The sequence below is a fragment of the Homo sapiens genome, chromosome 5, assembly GCF_000001405.40.
Source record: "Homo sapiens chromosome 5, GRCh38.p14 Primary Assembly".
Lineage (NCBI taxonomy): Eukaryota > Metazoa > Chordata > Mammalia > Primates > Hominidae > Homo > Homo sapiens.
The window spans coordinates 126,342,553-126,362,047 of record NC_000005.10 but is presented as its reverse complement, the minus strand read 5'-3'; the positions used below and the strand labels follow the sequence as shown (position 1 = coordinate 126,362,047).

Sequence of the window (19,495 nt, the reverse complement as noted above, 5' to 3'; positions counted from 1 at the left end):
AAACTGGCAAGGAGTTTTTGAAAGGTCACCACATTTGGGGTGATGGTGGTAGGCTTAACATGCTTGTGTGCATTGCTGGGAATGCTTCTGGGAGGTAGGTATTACACTGATTTTGCAGAGGAAGAACTGAGGCTCAGAGTGCCTATCGAACTGGTCTCATGTCCCACAGTTTGTGACACTCAAACACAGATATAGAGGCTTACCAACTCCTCCACAGCCACAGTGAGCAATTAACCCAGACAGGAAAGACATCATTTTGAGATTTTTGGTAAATTAGAGTTAGAATGGGACCTCTGCCCAAAGCACCTGTGAAAACTCTATAGCGTGAGGTAGGGTTTGGTGACTGGGCTGGGCCATCACGAGAACTGCAGAGCCCTGGGCAGTTTATCTGAGATACCGTGTTTCAGTGTTTCTTGTTAGATTTTCAGAAATGGAAGATGAGGAGCAGAGGGAATTTATTCATTGTGTAATTTCTATATGCCTGGCATTTTACATATAGAAACTTACTCAATCCTCTTAGCAATGCTAGGAAACAGAATTTTTTTTTTTTTTTTTTTTACCATTTCGGAATTAAGAAAACTGAAACTTGAGAAACTGTCTCTTTTCCTAGTCAACACATTCAGTTAAATGGCAGCAGAGTTGGGATTCAAATGCAGGTTTGTAGAATCCAAAGCCCAGTCTGAAAGGAAACTAGAGATCCTAATCTTCCCACCCATTTATATTTTATGTTATGTTTTCAGTTCCCATCATGCCTCACAGACAGTGTTTTTCTTCACAGTGTTTATGTGTACCCTTCACATGTCTTTCTGAAGACATTCTATTTATTGCCCTAGCTCTGGGCTAAGCCTAACAACCCTTCAATACAATTATTTATTCTTTGAAGATAGGATTATTTGAGGGATTTTAAAGCAATTATAGTCAGAATAATAGAGGAATTTTTAAACAAATTAAATATCTCTACATATACTTGTTACTCTGCTAGCAGTTGTACAAAATTTAAAGTAAAAAGCAAAGCAAAACCTAAAAAACCAAAAAGCTAACCCATAGTGCCTGCTTACAAGGAGCTCATAAAACCTAACCCAAACCCAAACCTACCTTTCTAGGTTAAAAGGAACCTAAAACCAAAATGTAGAGAGTTGACATGGCAAGTGTGACTTCATGCAAATATCTTATAATCCTAGTTTTCCTGAGCTGAAATGGCAAATACTGAGTTCTCCCGAACACATAGAGTCTTAGATTGCAACTGTATCTTTCAAGCCACTCCTAGCATTGCTCACTGCTGTCTCCACTTGAATTCCCCTTTCAGCTTGAGTGACATGACAAACCTCAAACTTCCAGTTTTGTGCAATACACCTATAAGCAAAATGTACTTGTATCAGGGGTTTCTGAGGACATTACAGTATGTGGGATAATTCTTGCTTTTACTCAAGACCCTGATGATAAACAAGGAAAACTCCCCCAGTGGGCAATCAAAGACATTCTCCATGTGGAGACACTCTGTCCTTAAGATACCAAAAAGGCCTTTTAAACCACAGAAGCCACACTCCACTCCCAAATGGTTTTTCCAGGTCTGAGACCTGTCACTTACAGTTCCAGGTCCGGACCCACTGGCTTCACTTCTCTCCCGTGGAACATACTCTTCCAGGGCATAAGCTGTGCTTGGAATGTTTGCTGAATGCTCCTTTTTGCTTGTAGGACTTGCTGTCTCCTTGTCATCTTCTAGAGGCCAGGTGATCTTCAAGAAACTCTGGGAAATGTCGGGAAGGAACTTTGTATTTACACCAGATCTGCCCAACCACAGCTCTTTGAGCCAGTTGGTGTGCTTTTCGCTCACAAGTGCTATCTCAGAAGTTTTCTCTTTCAGCGTCTGCTCAGAGGGATGGCACCAGCCGCACTTGAAACCCACATGTGTGAGAAAGCAAATGACCACAGAAACATTCAATGTGACCTTTAAGATAATGTTACGTCTTTGCCTTAAGAGCTTCATCTTATCTTGATGTTGACTTGGAGTCACATCACTGACCCTTTACTCATGATGACGTATGTCTTTCCGCAATCCTGATGCCTTTCTTCACTTTAGAAGACAGTGATTGTGTGTTACCTCAAAGGCTCTACCATAATTCACCCCAAATGGTCCTCAGTTGTCCTACAAGTTCATGCCTATTCATTACATAAATTAAACAAACCTAACACAACTTTGATATTCACTATTGAATGGCATGATCAATGTCTTATCACCCGTGTCTCATATGTGCATTCTGTAATCGGAATATATATTTCTCTTTAGAATATGTTTTGTGTCATACTCATCATGATTCTTTTCTCACTGTGGGGACTCAATGAATATTTACTGATGATAAACCTGTCATGCTGGAAAGCAAATTCACAGAGAAGCTGAACTTACTCAAACTTCCTTCTTTTTAGCTGTTCTACCGTGTCACTAATGCAGACAGTAAAGTTGCTCATTAATTAGAATAATAATGAAATGGCATTAAAGTTTTTCTTTCTTTTTTTTCACTCTGTATCAGACAAAAATCTGATTGGCTGAACTCAAATAATTAAATAGTTTTAGGTACTTAATTCACTTTAATCTAAGACCATTGCAAAACAAAGTGTACATTTGGAGATGATTTACTTGCATAGGATATACTAAGATAAAGATTTACAAATGAGAAAGAAGAGTACAATTTGCTTGAGTTCAAAACTAGGTAATAGAACAAGAGAGATCTATGCAAGAGATTATTTAGAATGCAAACAACTTATATTCTCTATCCTTTCCTTTCCTTCCTTTTTTTTTTCTTTGAGACGGAGTCCTGTTCTGTCACCTAGCTGGAGTGCAGTGGCACAATCTCGGCTCACTGCAACCTCTGCCTCAGACTCCCGAGTAGCTGAAATTACAGGCATGGACCACCACACCTGGCTAATTTTTGTATTTTTAGTAGAGATGGGGTTTTGCCATGTTGGCCAGGCTGGTCTCGAACTCCTGACCTCAAGAAATCTGCCCACCTCAGCCTCCCAAAGTGCTGGGATTACAGGTGTGAACCACTACGTCCAGCCCCTTTCCTATTCTTTCAATTAAAATTTGCCCTCAGGTTGTGTTAGATTGAATGCATTGATAATCCCAGCTACATTAATGGCCTCTATATATCCATAGCCTTTGCCTTATAGCTTTGTAATTTCTACCTACTCTAACTTGGACTGGTCTTGTTACTTGCTTTGGCTAATAAAATGTGGCAGAAGTGATACTGTGACAGTTCTGAGTCTAGACCTCAAGAAGCTTCGTGGGTTTCTACTCCTTCCCTGTGGTCACTATGACTACACGACTGAATTAGAGGTATCCTCCACATGAGACCACATGGCACAGAGCTGAGTCATTCAGGCTGTCGTAGACCACCCGGCTCCCCAGTGACCTGCCAAGTCCCCACAGACACAGTAGTGAGCCCAGCCAAAATCTAACTGATGTAGATCAACAGAACTACCTGAACACCTGTAGACTCATAAAAAATAATAAATAATTGTTTCCAACTGAGGTTTTGAGATGGATTTCTACACAGCAATAGCTAACTGCTTCAGATCCTATATTCATATCACTAATGCAGTAAGATGATAATAGCTCCAGGGGCAATTATGTTTTAACTGTTGCCAACCACTTGAGCTAAATGAGGGTAATTTTGAGAGGGTCTTCAGGTTCAGTAGGTCAGCAGGATGAACTTAGGCAATACAGTGGATCTTCCTGGGATCAAAGTCTGATATGCTTTAGAGGTCTGCTATCATGAGAATAGGAAAGGTAGCTTTAGGGTAGGGTAGATGACATCTATTAAAGATCTAAAAATTGTATTGTTAGTCCTACAAACTGTTGCCACTACAATCCCACTTCATCTCCCACTTCCCCTTCCGTACTTCCACTTCCCTCCATGGTCACCAGGCAAAGTTGAGAGTAGTACTCACCACCCAACTCTTCTCAGGTCTATGGGAAGCCCTTCTTCTCACCATTCTAATGACTGCACTCCAGGTTTTTTCACTGAAGGGGCAATACACCTTTAATGTGAGACAAACCTGGCTTCCAATCTTGCCTTTTGCCTAACATGTTAAGGGCCCTTGGACATGCTGAGGGTTTACTGCCTGTGTTATCCAGTTTTCTTCTCTGCGAAATGGTGATGAGAAAAGGCACTTGGCAAAGCTCTGTTTTTTCTCTTTCCTGCTTAACTCTACAAAGATACTTTCTGCTGATTTAGAAACTGCATTATAGGTCAAAGGTTTAGCAAATATTAACTTCCATTTTACTGCCTTTCTTAATAACAGGCAGACAAATGAAAGTTCAGAGATTTTACCTCAGGTGAATGGATCCAAGGTCCCACGTATTATTGGAGATGAGGCCATAAATACGGTAACAGTTTGATTACTCAGTTTGTGCTTTTTTTTTTCCAAAAAAAAGGAAAAACTCTATCTCTTACTCCATATTATGAATATGTAACAAAGTCATTCTTATGTAGGCAACTCTTCATAAACCACAGGGGTTCTATTTCAGACAAATAGAGGCACTTGGCTGCTTTCTCTAGGCATCTTATCTACCTGAAAGCCCCATATAGATGCCTCGTAAACTCAGCTTTTAGGAAAAGAGCTGAAGTAGGCTACTCAGACGGAAAGGCTGTTGGAAAGTTGGGGTAGTGTTAGTAATAATAAGCGACATCATAGTGATGGAATATTCTAGAAAAAAGAGCTCCAAGTTTGGTGTCAGAACACTTTACTAGTGGTAGAACTTTACTCAAGTTACCTTATCTCCCTTGGCCTCAGTTTTCTCTTATGTAAAATAGGGGCTTGGAGTAAATCAATGCTTTCCTAAATTGTGGTCTGTGGACAATTTCTCTAGCTTGTGTGGAAGTTGGCAAATACAGCACACAATTTTTGTCCCTTAGAGGTCTCTATGAAGGTCTGCATTTAATAAATCTATTCAACTTTATTAACTCAGGCTCAACCAGATAGAAATGGAAAACTGTTAATATCCTATAGGAAGAATCTCCTTTTGGAAATGCAGAGGCAGATGATTCTTAAGACTTTCTCTGTGTAAAGACATCTGAGCCAATAGAGAGATTTTAGTTCTATTGCAATTTACTGCAGAGTCCACTCTTACCAAGGAAGGAAATAGGGGAAAAAAAGGTCATATTTTATCGATTTCCTACTCCGCCAGGCAATGTGTTAGATATTTTACATATTCCTCATTTGCTCCTTGCAATAACTGTATGCAGTATTATTATTCTCACCTTACCAATATCGATTTTAACTACATTACTTAAACAAAAATAACCACTGACCCAGCTACTTGGGAGGCTGAGGTGGAAGGATTGCTTGAGCCCAGGAGTTCAAGGCTGCAGTGAGCTATGATCACACCATTGCACTCTAGGCTGGGCACCAGAGTGAGCCCTTTCTCAAATAAATAAATAAACAAGGAAAATCACTGAAGGCTTATTGAGAGAGTAACAATACAACATCAATGTAGAGTCAGTGGGATCAGTCCTAGATACTCTTCTCTATTGACACATTCTCTCAGTAATATTATTCATCCTATGACTTTAAATGCTATTTATATGCTGATGATGTCCAAGTCTTATAATTCCCCTCTTACTTCTCCCTATTAAATAAACACCTCAAACTTACTGTGACCAAAGTAGAATTTTTATTTACAGCTCTCCTCCAGAATTTTTCTTGTCTCATTTTACTGTTCTGATATGGTTTGGCTGTGTCTCCACCCAAATCTTACATTGAATTGTAATAATCCCCACATATCAAGGGCAGGGCCAGGTGGAGATAATTGAATCTTGGTGGCTGTTTCACTCATGCCATTCTCGTGGCAGTGAATAAGTCTCGCGAGATCTGATGGTTTTATAAATGGGAGTTCCCGTGCACACACTGTCTTGCCTGTCGCCGGGTAAGACTTTACTTTGTTCCTCATTCACCTTCCACAATGATTGTGAGGCATCCCCAGCCGTGTGGAACTGTGAGTCAATTAAAACTCTTTCCTTTATAAATTACCCAGCCTCGGTTATGTGTTTATTAGCAGTGTAAGGACAGACCAGTAAAGGGCTTCCTCATCCACCTGGTTGATGTAAAAGCAATTTAGGTGTTGTTGATTTCTCTCATGCCCTTGTTCCCCACGTGCAGTTCATCAACAAATCTTATCAGCTGTGCCTTCAGAACACATCCAGAATTTCAGTGCTTCTCTCCACTGGTATTCCTATTACTAGTCCAAGCTGCCATCTGTTATCTAGACTATTGCAGCAGTATTCCAATTGCTCTCTTCCCACTTGTATCACCTCTACAATCAGGATCCAGGATGATTTTAAAATTTAAAAATAAGAAAAAAACCATGTTACTCTTCCCTTTAAAATCTCCTAATTTTCTATTTCACTAAATTGCAACCTCTGGCCCTGCTCAGGTCTTTGCCCATATCTCCAGCCTCATTTAGCTCATGCTTCCTTTCATTGGTTTTTTTCCTAATCTGCAATATACCACACTTGTTTCTACCCCTGGATCTTTGCACCTGCTCCGCCCACTGACTATATAGCTTCCTTTCTGGCTCTTCTTGTCATCATTCAATTTCAACTCAAATGTCACCTTCTCAGGGAGCCTCCCCTGACTACAATGTCAAAAATAATCCTGGCTTGTGCAGAAACTATTACACCTCTCTGCTTTATGAAGTAAAAGAGTTGTCACTCTATCATTATCTTGCTATTTTTTTCCTCTGTACATTTCTCACAGCTAGAATGCAAATTCATGAAAGCTTATATTTTTTTGCTTTGTTCAACCCTGTGTCCCTACACCAATGTGTATCACAGTGCCTGGTACATATTGTTGCTCAATAGATATTTGTAGGACTGCTATGGTTTGAATGTGTTCCCTCCAAAATTCAAAGGTTGCCAGTGTGATAACAGGTGAGGCCTTTAAGAGATGATTAGGCCATGAGGGCTTCTCCCTTGTTAGTGGGATTAAGGTCCTTATAAAAGAGGCTTCGTGAACTGTTTAGTTAGTTTGCCCCTGTTCCTCCTTCCGTGTGAGGGTGTGGCCAAAAAACCCACATCAGAAGCCAGTGCCCCGATCTTTCCCAGCCTCGAGAATGGTAAGAAAATACATTTTTTTTTTTTTTTTTTTTTCATGAATTACCCAGTCTCAGGTACTTTGTTATAGCAGCACAAAGAGACTAAGACAAGGATTAATAAAATGTTATTTGTCTTGCTCGGCTTTCTAGCCATTTCTATTCGATACACATTTAAAAATAAACATTCATGAGGATAAACACAATGCCTTGGAGCAGATTCCAAACACATAAACTCATCAGAAAAACTGAAATGAGATTATCATCTGCACAGGATTTTTTAATTGCAAAAATCCTGAGGATAAAGAAAGGATAAAACAGTTTAAGAAATTGTCAAATGCTTTTCCATTGAGGCAGTGGTAGCTTAAGAGTAATCTGATATTTAATAATATGACTTATTATTTAACTGATATAACATACCAAATAGTTGTGGTACATTCTTGAAGTCATTGTTTCCGGGAAAGGACAGGGATCAAAACCACAAACGGCTAAATATGGCTTTTAGGAACTGGTCAGACCATTCTTTCTTATCCAATCACTCATTGCCAATGAGGCCACCTCTTACAGTGGATTTTCCTCTTCTAAATATCTGCACTGAGAAAGTAAAAGGCTAAGGGAAGAGTACTCACACAACTTCCTCTCAATATCCCTTCAGAACGAGCCTGTCTGTTATAACCAAAATCCAAGGAGAAGCTGCTAGACTGATACTGAACAAAATATCTATTTTGGTGTGATGTAACCCTTTCCTACAAGTTGGGGAGAGGTCGAAGAGAAAGTGGATAAGAAGGAAAATGAACACACTGTATACTCAAAGGAAAATAGACATTGTACCACAAAGTTCCATCTTTGAATTCTTGGCACCATCTAGTGGATAATGAGTCCTAATTTAGAGACCAGTTATTTTCTTAAATGGTGGTTCTCAAACTTTCTTAGTATGCCTCACAATTGCACAGAACTTGTACAAATACCCCACACCTATACATTCTGATTTTATAGGTTTGGTGTGAGACTTGGGCATCAGAGTTTTTTTTAACAAGCTTCCCAGGTGATTCTGTTTTAATTGATTGTGAAATTCAACTATCTCTTTGGAAGTTAGCTTTTTGTTTGTATGATATTCCCTCTTTCTTTTCCCCTTGTAAAAATATTTATATGTATATTTTACATTGTAAAATCAAAGTGAACTGTGAGCAACACTATTCTGAAGTTTCTCTAAGAATTAAGTGACATATTCAAGTAAAAATAGGTGAGTGTGAACTTGGGGGTGTAGTGGGATAGCCCCAAACACATGTTGCAAATCAGTGCTCAAGTCAACCAATATCCAACTAAATATGACAAACGTCATTTGTAATCTGCCTATTTCAGGTATCATCTTCCAATTGCTCATTATCTGCTATCCACTGATTTTAACAACTTAAACTTTTTAACTTCTCATTTTGAACTCTTACAAGAGCTACTTCATCATTTCATCCAGATCGAACTATAATGCAATTAATCAAAATTAGAAAACTAACACTGACACAATACTACTTCATACACAGGCCTTATTCAAAATTTTCAGCTGTCTTTCTAGGCTGCAGTCCAACCCAGGGGCCATGTTGTATTTTATAAGCATGTTTCCTTAGTCTCTCCAATCAAACAGTTCCTTGGTCTTTTTTTTTTTCCCCCGTCAATAAATTTGAGGAGTACGGGACAGTTTTGTTTGTTTGTTTGTTTGTTTTAAGAATATTCCTCAGTTTGGGTTTTCTGATGCTTCTTTCTGATTAAATTCAGGTTTTGTATCTTTGGTAAGATCGCCACAATGATAATCTTTGTGTTGTTCTCAGTGCATCAGATCAAGAAGCACACGATGTCAATTTCTTATTGATTTAAGTTTTGATCACTTGGGGTTATAGAGGCTCCTTGGGTTGTTCTCTTACAAAATAATCCTATATCAGGTGGTTCTAGAGGAGATGTTTCTGATTGTCTTGTAAGTTTTTCCTGGGAAGACACAGTCCACGGATAAATTTAACTGAGATAACATTGTTTGAAAAGATGATTTATGGAGGTTCAGGGTTTGCATAAACAGCTTAGGAGGTCCAGGATATCTGTGCACTTCCTAGGAGACCTTTTACATCAGACTTTCTGTGGCTTCCTAAGGAAATGGATATTGATGTTATGACCTCAGACAGGGAGCAGCAGGTACAGCTGGCACATGGATTCACAAATGCTTGACTGGCCCTCTGATTTCAGCTGTGACTATACTGGACAATTCTCTGCAGGCTTCCACTTATTTTTAGCTGAGATTGTCTCACTTCAAGTGCTTCATCTAATATCTCAGGTATTAGATTAATTTATTAATCTAAAGAAAATATAAAGAAATTAGATTTTTGGTGCTGTAAGGAACTTTCTAGGCCATGGCACATGCCCAGAGGTCAGGGGAATAACCCTTGATCTGTGGGGTCTGGGGGTCAATGGTTAAATACTCCTCTACCTCTCGTAAGTCAGGCAAAGCCTCATTATGAAGGTTATGAATACTGGGCCCAGGGTTTTATCCCACGGACAGGGTTTTATCCACGGCTTGAGCGGAAGAGTGACGGCAGGGAGAATGTTAATTAGGATCCTAGCCACTTGAATAACGTGGACGTTAGATTGATGTGGGAAGTAAATAGGGGCAGGAACAGATAACCAGGAGTCAACTACAGTTGTCTTGATTGGAAATAAATTGTGACCAAACTAGGCAGAGCAGTGCTGTAGAAATTTGAAGGTGGAGACCTGATAGTAAAACCCCAACTATGCTAGTACATTTCCCTTACTGACTTGGTGTGTTTGGTAGCCAATGAAATGGGCTCGGTCTCAGTTATCTCTTGCTGTATAACAAACCTCTCCCAAATGTAGTGGCTTAAATTGGCAATTTGTTCACGAAGTTGAGCAGGGCTCAATTAGGCAGTTATGTTGCTGCTGTTTCCGGGGGTATATTCAAATAATTAACTGTTATCAGGAGGTTGTCCTATGGTCTGAATGTGTCCCCCAAAATTCATGTGTTAGAAACTTAACCCCCAGTGCAACAGTGCTGGGAGGTGGGGCTTTTGGGATGTGTTTGGCTGAGCCCTGATGAATTAATGCTGTTATAGGAAGAGCTTGTGGGAGTAGACTTGCTCTTTGTCCTTCTGCTAAGGGAGGACACAGCATTTCTCCTCTCTGGGGATGCACTATCCAAAGCACCATCTTGGAAGCAGTGAGCAGCCCTCATCAGATGCTGGCCCCTTGATCTTTGTCTTCCCAGCCTCCAGAACTGAGACACTTCTGTTCTTGATACTCAGTCTGGGTATTCTGTGATAGCAGCACAAATGGACTAAGACAGGTTTGTTGGGGCCTTCAGAGTGTGTTCCGCCTGGTCTCTCCCTGCAGTGGCCTCTCTCACTTTTCTTACACGAAGGCCTCAAGTCCAGAAGGCAAGAGCAAAATTGCAAGCTTCTTGAAGCTCAAGCTCAAAAGTCACATAACATCACTTCTGACTTATTCTATCAGTCCAAGCAGTCATGAGTCATCCAACTTAGATTCACATGGTGGGGAAATAATCTATCTCTTGATGGGAGGAGCTAATACAATTTATGACCACTTTAAATTTTTCAGTGTATCTTGGTAGCTGATGAAATGAACTTTTGGTGTCTTCTTATCTGGGTTTGGATTTATAGCTAGAATTCAAATAACCATGTGCTGACAAACCACTCCTTCCTCTTACTAATACCCTGGTAAATATTCCAACACCTCTACTCTTGTTCCTGTTAAATATTTAAAGCCAGGACACTTGAACTCTATCATAGACTTAATCTCACGTAAGTAGAAGAATGTAGGAAAAAGCTTAGATTCTTGGAATATTTTCCAGAGCCACTGAAACTAATATCTTTTAAAAAACTACTGAATGTACTTCAAATGAGTTTTATGAAACTAAAGTTTTTTGTGAATTTGGGCTTTTTTTTTTCAAGGAAGAGAAAAACAATAAAGGGTAATTATATTTTCAGAATATGGTCTCAATGTTTATGGGACCATTTTGATAATTGCTTTAATTAACATCTTCATAACAGAATAAAAACTTCTCTTCAGTGCTAGTATTATGAAATATTGGTAAAAATGTTAGTGCCTTAAATATCAGTTAGCTAGTAACAATAGTAACTTAGAAAGTTTCATAAAGTGGCAGCACTGAAGTATCAAACTTACAAAGTATCAAACTTACAATTTTGTCCTTAAGGTATTCCCTGCATATTTGGGATGTTACCCTCAATCTGGAGAGCTTTTGATAATAATACAAGAAATCATTTTTTTTTTTTTTTGAAAGAGTCTCACTCTGTCACCCAGGCTGGAGTGCAGTGGCACGATCTCGGCTCACTGCAAGCTCTGCCTCCTGGGTTCACGCCATTCTCCTGCCTCAGCCTCCCGAGTAGCTGGGACTACAGGTGCCCACCACCATGCCCAGCTAATTTTTTGTATTTTTAGTAGAGACAGGTTTCACTGTGTTAGCCAGGATGGTCTCGATCTCCTGACCTCGTGATCCGCCCGCCTCGGCCTCCCAAAGTGCTGGGATTACAGGCGTGAGCCACTGCGCCCAGCCAAGATATTGTGTTTTAAAGAGGTAGCAACAGAATGCTAATATTCTTTCCCATGAGGAATGGTTAGGTCATGTATATACAATGTGTGGAAAGCTGTGGCAAAACTTGATCCCTAAGTGGGGTATTGGCTTCAGAACAGTTAGGGCTCTAAAGTCGGAACTGGAGAGGCAAAAAAGAGGTTTTGCTGAAGAGATGAGAACAAAGACAGCCTAAATCAAAACCTTTTTGGAAGGCTGTCTTATTTCCCTTTAAGCCAAGATCCCTGACTCAGTTCTGGGTATTTCTAAGATGGCCTTTCTGATTTATCTGAGAGCTCTCTTTAGTTGTATTTTTGATAAATAATAATTGTACATATTCATGGGGGACAATGTGATGTTTTGATACACTTATTCATTGTAGAATGATCAAATCAGGCAAATTAACATATCCATAGAGCTTTTTACCATTCTACTTCTCTCCTGAAACAGCTGCTTCTTAACAATTGACTTCAGGCTGTTTCCAGAGGTGGTCTTATTTACTTTTTGCTCTTTTGATTAAAGCTTTTATATTCTAACACTGGGATCCATGTATCTCAAAGCGTTTTCCTCAGAATACTTGTTTGCTTAGATGCTCTTGAAACAAAAATTCTATATAGCCATGACAATGCACAAATCATTGACACATGCAAAAACAAAGATGGATCTCACACATATAATGTATGGAAAATAAATCGACATGAAAGTACACACTGAACGAGTCCATTTATGTAAAGCTCAAAACAGGCAAAACTAATCTCTAGTTAAAGCAGGATAGAGGTTGTTTTGGGTGGGGGGTATCTTGAGGAGTGAGCACAAATGGGGCTTTTGTGTGCTGATTATGGTCTGAGCACTGGTTGCTTTGGTAGGCTTGCTTTGTGAAAGTTTATTGAGCTGTACGCTGATTTGAGCACTTCTCTACTTCTTTGTTAAGCTCATTAAGGAGTAGGACAATACAGAACAAATGGTTCTTCTCATTGACTTTCAAGTGAAATATGAGACTGGGTATCTCTAGTGGTTTGTTAAGGAAAGCATTGTTAGGCTGGCAACTTTTTTTTTTTCTGCATCCACTGTATTGTAGTGTTGATTTGGATTTTATTGGGTTTCAGTCTCCAAATAAACCAATAAGGGGTCAAACATCCAACAGATCAGTGGCAATCAGCAACAGAACAAAAACAACAAACAGCAAAGCAAAACACCATCAACACTGCAGTGCTATAGGACTGCATTTGATTGAAAAAAGAATCCTCATGCTCCACTAAGCCAGAAAAAGCTACCAGTATAAGGCATTGTTTCCAAGAAAACTTAAGAGGAAAGTGAAAGCTAAACATTGCTATCACTGAAGCCAATGTTATCTAGACATGTTCTTTATTTTCCCCGGAAATACCATCTAGGATTATGTCACGAGGTATCACTTGGAGAAAAGTTTTCAGCAGGAAAATTGTATATTTCTTAGAAGGGGGTGGGAAAATGGAAGTCATATAGACTGGTAAAAAAAATTAATATTTCATATTTGCCAAAATTCACATTTAAATGTTATATGTTCGTGGCCTTGAAACAGCCAATAGATTTGTCTCTGCCCAGGAGGCTGCACTGGGCAGACGTATTATCTTCCATACAGCAGTGACTGCTCTCACAGTTGGTGTCTCTGCCAGGAGGTTTGTAGACTGTAATAGAAGGTAGGACATGATACCTGAAATCATCATTCTTTTCTATCAGTAGAAAGAGTTGAAATAGGGTCAATGATGCTATCCTTAAGCTATTCCCTGCATATTTGGGATGTTACCCTCAATCTGGAAGTTAGAGGAGGAAAGATTAGCATTTTCAATTTCTGCTGACTTATCAGAGACACAATTGTGATGGGTGAAAATGGAGCTCATCTTTGGGACACAAAATTTAAGCTGACCTAAATACCTTATCTCATCTTGTTGTTAATGTGGTCCATGGGCTGAGAGATTGAATTCACTTCAGCGTTTGTTGAGTGCCATTCACCATGCAGAACACTAGGGATGAAAAGGCATGGGTCTCCCAGAATTGTGGGAGGGACGGATATGCGCACACGGTTATAATCAATGGCAAATGTCATTGCATAAAAATATAGGGATGGTGTTACACACAGAGAAAGCAACTCTACTGGTGGCAGGGAAGCCTACAGAGAAGAAAATCTTAAAAGCTGAGTGGGAATTTGTCAGACGATGCGGGGAAAGGACATTACAGGAAATATGAAAAGCAAGGGGGGAGGGATGAAGCTTGGATTTCCATGGAGGGGCCAGAGAGTGGTGAGGACTCTGGGATGTTAGGATTTAGAGAAGAAGGGGAGGCTGGGCCAGGAACGGTGGTGGCTCATGCCTTTAATCCTAGCACTTTGGGAGACTGAGGCAGGCAGATGGCTTCAGGCCAGGAGTTCAAGACCAGTCTGGGCAACATGGTGAAACCCCATCTCTACTAAAAATACAAAAATTAGTTGGGCATGGTGGCATGTACCTGTAGTCCCAGCTACTTGGGAGGCTGAGGTGGGAAGATCACTTGAGCCTGGGAGGTTGAGGCTGCATTGAGCTGAGATTGTGGCACAGCACTTCAGCCTGAGTGACAGAGTGAGACCTTATTGTCATCCAAGCTAGAGCTAGATTTTGGAGGATGTTGAATGCCCTGGGAAGGAATTTGGATCTTAACCTAAAGAGCAGTGGAAGAATTGTGAAAAGGGAGAAATGTGATCCTCCCTGTGTTTTAGAAAGGTAAGATCAGCAACCATTTGGATAATGGCTTATAGAGGGAAAAGCAAACAAGGAGATCGGTTAGGAAATTACTAGAACAATCAAGAACACCCTGAATGAGACTAAAGATGAACAACTTGGAAGGCAGAATCTATCCTGGATCTAAATGCTGTTGTAGGCATATAATGGGTTAGTATAAAAGCATGAAAACAATGTTGACCTATTTTAACAACCCAGAAAGATTTCCAAAATATGTTGTTGAATAAGTTTACAAAAACATGAGCAATAATATTCTAAATCTGTATCTGCACAGAAAAAGCTGAGAATATATGTAGTATACTAAAATGTTAATAGTAATATTTATTTGCTAATAGACTTTTGGGTAATTTTTGGAGAAAAGCAACTCACATGTCCAGTTAAGAATATAGGGCAGGGCGTGGTGGCTCACGCCTGTATTCCCAGCACCCTGGGAATCTGAGGCCAGTAGATCACTTGAGGCCAGGAATTTGAGACCACCCTGGCCAACATGGCAAAGTCCCATCTCTACTAAAAATACAAAAATTAGCCAGGTATGGTGGCACATAACTGTAGTCCCAGCTACTCGGGAGGCTGAGGTGTGAGAATTGCTTGAGCCTGGGAGGCAGAGGTTGCAGTGAGCTGAGATCATGCCACTGCACTGTAGCCTGGGCAACAGAGTAGACTGTCTCAAAAAAGCAGTATGTAAGGGCTTAGAAAAAGTCTTTTATATTCAGACCATTTTTAAAACCTAGTAAATAGTCTGGCACTTCAAGGTAAGTGGGATATGCAGAATCAAGAGGAGTACAGAAAATAATCAAAAGATAAATGGAAAATAAAAATATGATAGAATGTAGAAATGGAATTATTGAACTGAGAAGAGATGGCTGGGGAACAATTTTAAGGGTGTTTTAAAACTTATCTCTGGATGCCTTTCAAGTTGATCCCATTGGTAGAGTCTAAGAATGTTGCTCTATGAAGGTGGTAGAGGCTTACATGATCCATTAAGGACCCTCCCAACTATACGATTCCTTTTATCATCTAGTTTCATTGAATCAGCCTATGAAGGGAACCAAGTCTTGTATTAACTCTTGTAGTATTTCAAGTACTTTTTTCCTTAAAATATACATTTAAATATTAATATATATTTGAAGTATTTCATTCCAATTTCATAAAACAACACTGGCCACAGATGTAAGATTGAACTGATACTGTTGGATAATACAATTTACATGTAATTGTGTGGGACCAAACTGACTTTACCAATTCAGAATAAAATCCTATAGAAGGGTTGAGGGTTGAAGAGATAGCCAAGGAAAAGAGTTTGGAATTGAAAGAGAAGAAAAAGAATGACTAAGGTTAATTTGTAGGAAGATAAATGTATTTATGATGAAAGATCAATAGTTGTACTGCTATCTATTATGAGAAAATGAGGTGCATTTCAAAGAGGGAATCAATATTAAAGTCCATCTTGAGGGGTTTGTATGATGTACTTTTGAGGAACCACCTCTTGTAAGCACCCATCCTTTTGGGTCCTAGGTAAACATGTCCTTCTCCTCTTTAGACCCTGGGCTCTGGCTGCCTGCTTTAGATATTGATTTCCACCGTCATTGTTTCACCCTGTACTTTTCTTTGATTCTCTTTGCTTCCATTTCTTCATTCTTAAAGGGTTAGGATTAGCCTAGGTTGTTTAAAAATGTCTATGTATTAAAATCATGGGCTCCTTTAAGAAGATACATTTAGAGCTTTTCTGGGGAAGTTGAGGTAGAATGGCAGGGTTCCTTCTGGCTCTTCTCACTCCCTAAAGGGGTTCTATGGAGCCAGGCTTGAAAACTACTCAACTTGAATCTGTGCTTCCAAGAGCCAAGAGATTAGTGTGGCCTGGAGTATCCTGAGGACAATGAAGACCCTTGTGAAGATATTTTGCTTTCTCACATTGTTTTCTTAAAAAAAAAAAAAACCTGTGTTGCTGTGTCATCTGGTAGTGGCACCCAGGATCAATTCCTGTGATGGAGAAAATGAAGTGTAGCTATCATAAGTGGGAAAACTTTTTTTTCTCATCTGCCACGGTCTTACTGAGTGGTCTTCTGAAAATCTCTCAGGAGTGCCAAACATCATTTCCTCCTCACTGCTCCATAAAGACACAGTGAAGACCTCTGACTGAGATACACACCACTTTGAGGCTCTGGGAGAAAAGAGGGAACTAGTATCTGTCCTCCAAAGCAGTATCTTCCCTTTTACTTGACTTAGCAGAGGTTTGAGCTCTTCTGGACCTTGATGTTTCTGAGTATCTCCTTGTTCAGCAGAATACTTTTAGCCACTTGCCATCCAATGGCTTGAGTAAATGAGAGTTGTTGTTACATCTTTTGTTGAAAGTATTTCCTGCTGCCATTTTGGTCTTCCCATCTAAACACACTGTATGAAAGGAGTGTGGAACAATCTCATCTTTTAAGGGAAGAAAAATCATTTGTTCTGTTGCTGTCTCAGATGCAAGTCATTTCCAATGGATAACCCTTCCTCGACCTGGCAAGGCTGGTTAGCACAGACTGCAGAGAGCTTGGAACACGCTAAAAGATTGATTCAAGGCAGCAGAAACCTCTTATCTACGACCTTACTGACCTTTCTCAGGATTCACTCAAAAGCTGTATCTGGGACCTCTATTCTGTGGCTTTTGAACTAATATATCTTCATTAGGAGTTAGAAGTAAACAATTTTTTTTTTAAGCTCTAGGAAAGCAGTTTGTTTTGAACACAGTGGATTTGATCTTTAGAGAGAGGTGAACAGTTAACTGTTTTTTTCAGCAAATGCTAAAGATGATGAATGAAATGCCCACAGCTAAGAAGACCTCTTTACAACAGGGAGAGTTATTTTGGAAGGATTTTAAATCATTCACACAGTTACCAGGCTAGGATCACTTGGCTAGCTCTGATTGGTGACTTTTTCATCGGAGGTTTCACAAACAAAAAACAAACAACAAATAAACAAAAACTTAACATTTTATCTTGCAAACCTGAGTCAATATCCAGAATACCAAAGGATTATATCTTGCAAATTATCCTTGTTTAGGGTTTTGTCAAAAGGGTAAGCTCTCCTGATATGCCTGACAGCTTTTTTTGTTTGTTTGTTTGTTTGTTTGTTTGTTTTTTTGAGACAGAGCCTCAGAGCCTCGCTCTCTCGCCCAGGCTGGAGTGCAGTGGCACGATCTCAGCTCACTGCAAACTCTGCCTCATGGATTCAAGTGATTCTCCTACCTCAACCTCCTGAATAGCTGGGACTACAGGCATGCACCACCATGCCTGGCTAATTTTTTGGTATTTTTAGTAGATGGGGTTTCACATACTGGCCAGGCTGATCTGGAACTCCTGACCTCAGGTGATCTGCCCACCTCAACCTCCAAAGTGTTGGGATTACAGGCGTGAGCCACCATGCCCGACCCTGACAAACTCTTTATAAAATATGAGGCTTGCCCTCTGGAAATATGCAAGTGAAGGCATGCAGAATTACTTGATTTTTCCTCTACATGAGTCTTTAGTTTAGACACTGTTAGGGGAAAACATATATGGGCATTGTCATCTAAAGAGGATGTGTATTGGTGTTAAATCTTCTTAAATGAAGTCTTAATTACCTACAGAAATAGATTTGCCTGGGGTAGTTATACAGAATTTGAGGCATATTACTATTTTGATTAATTACAAAGGTTTACACCTGCCCTGCTTTTGTTTCTATAGCACTTTGCTATTCTAGCCATGAGTGATTTGATATCAGTCTCTGGTCAAACCCAAAACACTTATGTAGTTATGCACATAACTATATAAGTATATGATATTTTCTTATAGAGGAGTAGGAGAAAACATGACTCACTTTAGAAAGGTCTGCTTTATGACTTGAGTTCTTGGGTTTCCAACAAATGGCCTATATTTGCGTCATACACTTCTCCATGTGCTTGATATACATTGTCATTTAATCCTTTAAACAACCCTTGTGTGATAGGTATTATTATGACCCCTTCCTACAGATGAGGAAACTAAGGCACAGAGAACACAAATAATTTGTGGAAGGTCACCCTGTTAGTAAGTAACTGAGCTGGTATTAAAACCCAGCCCCCAGAGTGCAGAGCTCATGTCCCTGATGGCATTTTCTGGTGCTGCTACCATCACAAGGAAAAGACAGAATGGCTGTATTTGTCATTCATCTATTACAGTGTGATTGGAAGGAGAAAAGGGGTACAAAAATGTCCTAATAAGAGAATAGTGTTAGCCCTGGGATATAATGCATGTGGGAAAGTGGCATACATACCAGTGTGACTTAAAGACAAACACGTGCTAAATATACATTAATTACACTCCAGAATAATTTAGAATCACGGAAAAGTAAAAAAAGAAAATTATGAGTTGAATAAAAGTGAGCTAAAAGGCACAAAAAGATCTGGGAAAAACACTTGGATAAGGGAAATAATAACTAGTTACAGAATGTATGAAATAATTTTTCCCTTCTTAGGTAGAGTCTTTCACTTACTGAATTTATTAGACTTGGATAGAACACTTAATGTTTGGTTTGGGGAAAATATTTGGATTGGCCTAAAGTTGAAGTTACAGCTTCCCAGATTTGACTCACTTTATTAGGGTTCTCTTGGCGTGCCTCAACACATGGAAGTGTGGGATCCTCTCAGCCGTTGGGGCAGCTGTGTGCAGCCTGGGGGACACCTGTATGAATGTTGACACAAGAACCAGGGGGACCCCCTCATAAGGTGTTGGCTTTATATAACCCCCCCAAACTTAGATATAACCAATGAAAAAGAAGGAAATCCAAATTTACTAAAATCAAGTACCTTAGTAAAATGGGAACTCAAAAAATAAAGTCAGATTACTGTACCCCTATCTTTGACACGGAATTTTTGGCCACAGCTATTGTTACAAGGGATAGACTTTAAGTCATGCAAATGGGGATTATTAAATTTTTAAAAAGAGTCTCATTGATAAGGTTTGTGGGTCATCCCTGCAGAGTGCTGCTTTGGGAGTCTTGGATCCCTTTAGCTTACTGTGGAAAGGCAGACAGCCTGGAAACACAGCTTATAGA

At 39.7% G+C, this 19,495-nt stretch overlaps 1 protein-coding gene and 1 long non-coding RNA gene across 5 annotated transcripts in view, besides 1 other annotated feature; one reads left to right on the top strand and one right to left on the bottom strand.

Moving 5' to 3' along the window:
• The window catches only part of GRAMD2B (GRAM domain containing 2B), a 134,245-nt gene extending 132,317 nt beyond the window's left edge, over nt 1–1,928 (bottom strand). For all 4 annotated transcript variants that reach the window (XM_017009781.2, XM_011543593.3, NM_001146319.3 and 1 more), the window contains exon 1: nt 1,589–1,928. Coding sequence is in view for 3 of the 4 variants with exons in the window: in XM_011543593.3 (XP_011541895.1) it covers nt 1,589–1,716 (128 nt within the window). In the remaining variant the exon portion in view is untranslated. The remainder of the gene's footprint in view (nt 1–1,588) is intronic.
• LOC124901056 (uncharacterized) overlaps nt 1–19,495 on the top strand; it is an 891,204-nt gene that overhangs the window by 8,251 nt on the left and 863,458 nt on the right. The gene's annotated exons all lie outside the window — the stretch shown is intronic.
• Nucleotides 1,416–2,615: an enhancer, noted in NCBI's record as "CDK7 strongly-dependent group 2 enhancer chr5:125695125-125696324 (GRCh37/hg19 assembly coordinates)". NCBI's record gives its function as "activates an origin of replication core promoter dependent on BRD2, BRD4, P300/CBP, MED14 and CDK7 cofactors, with strong dependence on CDK7, by STARR-seq in HCT116 cells {active_cell/tissue: HCT116}" and the evidence as "EXISTENCE:reporter gene assay evidence [ECO:0000049][PMID:35650434]".